Source organism: Homo sapiens, chromosome 3 (assembly GCF_000001405.40).
Source record: "Homo sapiens chromosome 3, GRCh38.p14 Primary Assembly".
NCBI classification, from domain to species: domain Eukaryota; kingdom Metazoa; phylum Chordata; class Mammalia; order Primates; family Hominidae; genus Homo; species Homo sapiens.
Window position 1 is genome coordinate 190,714,160 of NC_000003.12, and position 7,523 is coordinate 190,721,682.

At 37.3% G+C, this 7,523-nt stretch overlaps 1 pseudogene; it reads left to right on the forward strand.

Annotated features, from left to right (window-relative positions):
• Positions 550–3,214, forward strand: CCT6P4 (chaperonin containing TCP1 subunit 6 pseudogene 4; annotated as a pseudogene).

A 7,523-nucleotide genomic window follows, 5' to 3' on the forward strand; every position in this document is an offset into this window, starting at 1 on the left:
TGTGAGGATTTCTTAAAATAAAACAATAATAAAGTTTGTTCCATTGATTGACTCAAGAACATTCTTGTCACAAAAGATTTCTCTGTAGTGTGTGATGCTGTAAAACTTCTCTCAAAATTGAAGTTAGTCCTCCAAACCCTGCCACTGCTTTATCAACTACGTTTATGTAATATTCTAAATCCTTTGCTGTCATTTCACAATATTTACAGCATGTCCACCAGGAGTAGATTCCATCTTTAAAAAACAAAACACTCTTTTTGGCTCATTCATAAGAAGAAACTCTTCACCCATTCAAGTTCTATCATGAACTTGCAGCAATAGAGTCACATCTTCGGAGTAGATTTAGCATACTTCTTATGGACCCTAGGATTTTCAGAATGGCAAATGAGATTTGGCTTCAACTTAGTTACCATCTGCATTAGCCCCTAACAAGAGAGTCAGCTTATCCTTGGAGGCTTTGAAACTAGGAATTGACTTCTGCTCTTGATGAAAGTTCTAGATGGCGTCTTCTCCCAACATGAGGTTGTTTTAAGTACACTAAAAATCTTCAGAAGACCCGGTTAATGGGAGCCACTATCCGGGTCTTCTACGGCCTGTGCTGGCTCTGGGATCTCAGCACAGGTCTTTTGCTCTTCCTCCTCTTGAGCAGCCATGGCTGCCAGGAAGACCCAGAACCCCAAGGCTGAGGTGGCCCAAGTGCAGGTGGTTTTGGTGCTCAACATCAGTGTGGTGCAGGGGCTACAGGACATACTGAGGACCAACCTGGGACCCAAGGGCGTCATGAGGATGCCTGTTTCTGTGCTGGACACATCAAGCTTACTAAAGACAGCCATGTGCCACTTCACAAAATGCAAATTCACGAAATGCAAATGCTATTAAATGCATTCTTAATAGCAAAAGTAGCAACAGCTCAGGATGATATAACGGGTGATGGTATGACTTACAATGTCCTAATAATTAGAGAGCTACTGAAACAGGCCAACCTCTACATTTCTGAAGGCCTTCATCCCAGAATAATCACTGAAGGATTTGAGGTTGAAAGGTAAGGGCCCTTCAGTTCTTGGAACAAGTCAAATTAAGCAGAGAGATGCACATAGAAACACTTAAGAGATGTGGCCAGAACATCTCTTTGTACTAAAGTTCATGCTGAACTTGCAGACATCTTAACATAGGCTGTAGTGGACTCCATTTTGGCCATTAACAAACAAGATGAACCTATTGATCTCTTCATATTTGTGATCATGGAGATGAAACATAAACCTGAAGCTGATACAAGCTTAATTAGAGGCCTGTTTTGGACCATGGAGCACGGCATCCTGATGTGAAGAAAAGGGTGGAAGATGCATACATCCTCAAGTGTAGTGTGTCATTAGAGTAAGAAAAAAGGAAGTAAATTCTGGCCTTTTTATTTACAAGAGTGAAGAAGAGAGAGAAAAAAATCATAAAATCAGAAAAAGTTCATTGAACATGGAGTTAAAAAATAGTAGAACTGAAAAGGAAAATCTGTGGTGATTCAGATAAAGGATTTGTTGTGATTATCAAAAGGGAATAGATCTCTTTTCCTTAGATGTTCTTGCAAAAGAAAGCATAGCAGCTCTACACAGAGCGAAAAGTAGAAATATGGAGAGGCTGACTCTTGCTTGTGGCAGGGTAGCTCTGATTTACTTTTATGACCTAAATCCTGACTGCTTGGGACTTGTGGTTCTTGTGCATGAGTATACACTGAGGAGAAGTTCACCTTTATTCAGCAATGTAACAATCCTCACTCTTTCACATTATTGATCAAAGGACCAAATAAGCACACACTCTCTCAAATCAAAGAAGCCATCAGAGATGGCTTGAGGACTGTAGGAGGAGCTATTAATGATGGCTGTGCAGTTCCAGGTGCTGGTGCCGTGGAAATGGCAATGGCAGAAGACCAGTGTAAAGGGCAGTGCACAGCTTGGAGTTCAAGCATTTACTGATGCATTGCTCAATTATTCCCAAGGTTCTTGCTCAGAATTCTGCTTTTGACCTTCAAGAACGTTAGTTGAAATTCAAGCAGAATATTCAGAATCAGTCAGCTTGTGGATGTGGACCTCAACATAGGTGAGCCAGTGGTAGCAGCAGAAATAGGAGTATGGGATAACTATTGTGTAAAGAAACAGCTTCTTCACTCCTGCACTGTGATGGCCACCAACATTCTCTTGGTTGACGAGATCATGAAAGCTATTAATAGAATGTCTTCTCTGAAAGGTTAAGTTGAAGCTTCGCTGTATCTGAGTCTTGAGACTCTGCAAAGTGATCCTGAGGAATGTAGCTGTGGAATTTTTGTCCAAGCTTCAAATGGTTTTCAAAGGAATTTTCTTTTCCCATATGAAAAAAGGAGAGAACACTGGTACCTAGTGAAATTTTGAAGTTCTGAAATTACAATTACAGTATTTTTTTAATTGCACTGAAGTAAAAACCCATAAAGCAGGTCCATGTGTGTCTTTTACCCAGTGAGCAGGATGTTTTGCTTCAGCTGCAGTGACATAAAAATCCATGTTAGAAAAGCATATGTTATCTACCTTATTATTAAATATTTCTTGAAAAACAAATTTTAATGGTTTAATAATTTCTTATGAAGATGTTTGTTAAATTATCCAACAGTGTCCTATTGTCAAGTATTTAGGTTTAAAAAAAGTTTTATGCTAATATAAATAACACTTCTGTAATTTAAGATTTTGAAAGCATCCCTGTTGGTATAAATTTCTATTTGTAAACTTATTGGATCAGTTGGACTTTTGCTGCTTTTGAAATAGCTTTGCTACAATACTCCCCCCAAAACGTTAAGCTGTAGCAAATGGGAAGAAGAATAAACTAGAGGCAAAGGGAGTTGAGAGAGCTGCAAGGGACAAGTGGCAAAAATAGAAGAGGCAGAGGTAAAAAGATGATGGAAGGCATGGTGACTAAGGGCTAGGGTTACTGGGTGAAATATGAGATTAATAGCTGACCATATTTTCAAGCGTCTGAACTTTTTGCTTGTGCAACATATCCATCCCAAATGCTCTAGTGCCATATTTTTCTCACCCAAATTACTGTTCTCTCCTACATATTTCCACAAGATTGTTTATATACAGTTGGTCTGTTTCTGTAGTCTTTGGAGACGAAATTGTGTGATACTAAGCTGTGTGGTTTGAGGGTTTAGCAGTTATCTGCAATGAATATGTAATAAATATTAAGTTGAATCCTCAAAACAAAAAATAAAATGTGTTGTTTAGTATGTAGCCACCTTTACCAGCTATCTGAGCGAGATCTTTTGGATAACTTGCTGCAACTTCTATATCAGCACTTGCTGCCTTACCTTGCACTTTCATGTTATGAAAATGACTTCTTTGCTTAAATCTCATGAACCAAAAATTTGCCAGCTTCTGACTTTTCTTCTTTAGCCTCCTCACCTCAGTTTGTAGTGTCTTGTGGATCATAGTACGGTCTTGCTTTGGATTAGGCTTTGGTTTAAGGGAATGTTGTGACTTGTTTGATACTCTATCCAGACCTCTCTAACTTTCTCCATACCAGCAATAACGCAGATTTACTTTTTTATTTGTGTGTTCACTGGAATGGCACTTTTAATAGCCTTCAGTAATTTCTCCTTTGCAATCATAATTTGGCTGCTGGGAGCAAAAGACTTAGCTTTGGGCCTATTTCAGCTTTCAACATGTCTTCCCCTCATGTAATCGTTTCTATTTTTTGGTTGAAAGTGAGAGGCACGTGATTCTTCCATTCATGTGAACACTTAGAGGCCATTTTAGGGTTATTGTTTGGCTCTATTTGATTTGATTTTTTTAAATTTATTTATTTTTGAGGCAGAGTCTCACTCTATCACCCAGGCTGGAGTGCAGTGGTGCGATCTTGGCTCGCTGCAACTTCCGCCTCCCAGGTTCAAGCGATTCTCCTGCCTCAGCCTCCTGAGTAGCTGGGACCATACCAAGCTAATTTTTGTATTTTTAGTAGAGATACGGTTTTGCCACGTTGGCCAGACTGCTCTCAAACTCCTGACCTCAAGTGATCCGCCCACCTCAGCCTCCCAAAGTGGTGGGATGACAGGCATGAGCCACAGTGCCTGGCCTGGCTCAATTTGAATATTGGGATGTCTCAGGGAATAGGGAGGCTGAAGTGGAAGGAAAGAGATAAGAGAATGGCCAGTTGGTGGAGCAGTCAGAACACACACAGCATTTATCGACTACTTCAGTCTTATATGGGTGTGGTTCATGGTGCCCCAAAACAAAAACACCAAAGATCACTGATCACAGATCACCGTAATAGATATCATGATTATGAAAAAGTTTGATATATTGCTAGAGTCACCAATATGTGACACAGAAACAAGAAATTGAACACCTGCTGTTGGAAGAATGGCGCTGATGCAGAGAGCCTTCCTTGTTCCACACAGAGTTGTTACAAACTTTCAATTTGTAAAAAACACAGCATCTGCCAAGCACAATAAAGTGAAATGAAATAAAACAAGATGTGCCTCTTCTGCCAAAAACTGCAAAATTTTTCAAAAATTTAAAGTGAATCTTAAAATGTATACTTTTTTATTTTTGTTAATAAAAACTTCCTTGAGTAGGCTCAGATTTGTCGTCATAAGAATATTTTTGTTTTGATTTCATTCCAACATTGAAATTAAACTGTTTCCTAAGAATACCAGCTGCTATGAGGGATTCGTGATCTGAAAGTACCACAGAAAGCAAAGAACAGAAAATGAAAACATGGTGATTAAATGTCCATTGGATGAGTCATATGATGGTTATCCTGAAAGAACCTGAAAATGAAACATCCCTAAAACTATGAGAAGCAAAAAAAAAGTGCTGTCTAAATATACACTTGCCAGTAAATGCGTGTAAGGGCAGATTCCAGCGTGGGCATAAACCAATATTAAATTAATAACCACAAAAGAAGCTCTATTGATTAGCCTATTGCCTCACCTGTAATGCCAGTACTTAAATCTGAATGCAAACACTAATGAACAGGTTTAGGTTGTACTTTACAGTGATTGACAGCACTACGGGAAGTCAGATGCCAATGTTTTCTCATTGTAATATGTTAAGAACCTTTTTCCCTCCCAGAATCACCATGCAAAGCTATCCTCCAGGAAAATCACAGGTGGATCTAGATCCATCACATTTTAACTACAACTGTAGTTATAGTTAAACAGTGATTTAATATTTTACAAAATCTCAAAGATGTTGACTACTAATAATATGTTACTAATTATATTTTTGGAGAAATCTCACTGTTGAAACTAGGACTAAACCAAATTATAAGAACGTAAGAAAGACATGCCACATAACACTAATAAGCAATGAGTCTTTTTCCACAGATTCTTTTTATTTTATTTTTTATTTTTTTATTTTTTTATTTTTTTTTACACAATTCTCTCTAAAGGACACTTGTTGGATAGCAGATGGAGGTTGTATGGCATTGACCTCAAAGGTTAATGATGTATCTTTAAGTATTCATTACACAACTTTAACAATTCCTTACACAGTGAAACATTTTAGAGTTTTCAAAGGGCTTTCACTTTGACTGCTGATTATATTGTGAAGGATTGAATAATGTACAAAGTGTCTCAAGCGTATGTTTTTCTTCACAGCATAATCCTGACATGTTTAAATATGCTATAAAAGTATATTGGATGAATTAATGAATTTGGTCCACACAACAAACTATGTTAGGCATACATAGAAGAATTATTATACAATTTTACATGCTAGAAACAGTTCTAGTGATTTGCTAGGATGTCTTAACTATAGATAAAAGCCTGAGAAGGAATAAAGAAGTGAAATAGCCAATAAAAATCTATAGACATGGAAATTTTCAAAGAACACATACATTTATTTCAACACTGTTATTATACTTATCAGAAATGATCAACAAAATATAGTAGACAAATGGAAGCCTCAAATCAGGATTCATGTTTTCTCAGTTTTTAGATTTTACTATTTGTACCTTGTGATGTAACTTAGTTTGTTGTTTGTTTGTTTGTTTTTATCCACAGGGGCCAACATCACTAACTTTTTTTGGTATTCGCTTTGAGGATTTATCTTTATCTTTTAAGGGTTAAGGAAGATAATATTTGAATCTTTCTTAAACCCGTTTACGTCTTAAGTAAAGTAACATTTCCTCTGAGTCTTAGATAAATGGGTTTGAATGCCAGTTTTAAAATTGGGTGAAGAGTGTTTCAAATCTAGAAAACCATGTGAGCAAAGCCCTGATGTGAGAAACTTCTGAGGATATGTAGGGAAAGTAAGTTTGGTAGATTCATGAAATACATGAAAAGGAAAGGGTTCATGTGTGAGGATTACATTATGAAGCACCTTGGATACCAAACAGAGCACGTTGTCCCATGGACGGTAGGAAGCTATAGACGGTTACTTAGCAGAAGAGTTTCAGTGTAGGTCACTGTTTCCTTTTTAATAATAATGAGTTCATAGCCATATCTCTGCTATAGTGTGATCACTCTGGTGATAATAACAGAAAAGTAGGGTGTGTGTGTGTGTGTGTGTGTTGGAAGACAGGATTAGAGTAAGAAACTGGGTAGGATTACCATCTGAGAGGCGCTATTTCAATAGTCCAATTAAAATGGAACACGTACCTACTACTTGCTAACTTGCTAGGTGTATAAACTAGGACAAGTTACTTCCCTCTAAGCCTTGTTTTCCTCATTTGAATCCTATAGAATTGTTGCTTTAATTAAGTGAGAAATTGTATATACTACAATTATTAACACCATGTCAGATATATCACGGGTACTTAATAGGTATTTATAATTATTATATCAAGCCAATTAAAATATGTTGTTTTGGGAGAGGAGGACTTTACAATTACTTATCATTATTGTGTATTTATTTTCATTGACAAAAAATGTACGTATTTATGAGATAAAATGTGATGTTTTGATATTTGCACACAGTGTGGAATGATTATGTTAATTAGCTTGACTTCAAGCTAATTAACATGTTCCTCACCTCACATAATTTTTTGTGTGTGTGTGATGAGAACATTTAAAATCTTTCTTAGCATTTCAAATATACAGTACATTATAATTATAGTCACCATGCTATATGATAGTTCTCCAGAATTTATTCTTCTGATGAATATGTTTCAGTAAAATATTTTTGTCTTTTCTCAATAAAACTTTCTTTCATAGCTGGGACATCCTATTTGACAAAGATAACAAGGCACATCCACACCGTCTTTCCTAAGACTATCCTCTTGGCCACTCTCAGCTAAGAAAGCTTGGCTAAGGGGGCCTATAACAGTGAGGTCATGTCACCGGGAGGTTCCGCTATTCTGCACCATACAACCAGAAAGACAGCAAACCTATGAAAGAACACTCTGCCATGCTTGAGAAGCCAAGCATGAGCTCTGCATATTTGTTCTCCTCCCAGAGTGAGTCAACCATGACGTTCACCCATTGCGGAGTGTTTGCTAGGCACTTGGCTTTCATTAATCTTCTTGCATTTCTTTGACCCCACCTGTATATAAGATGGAATGGT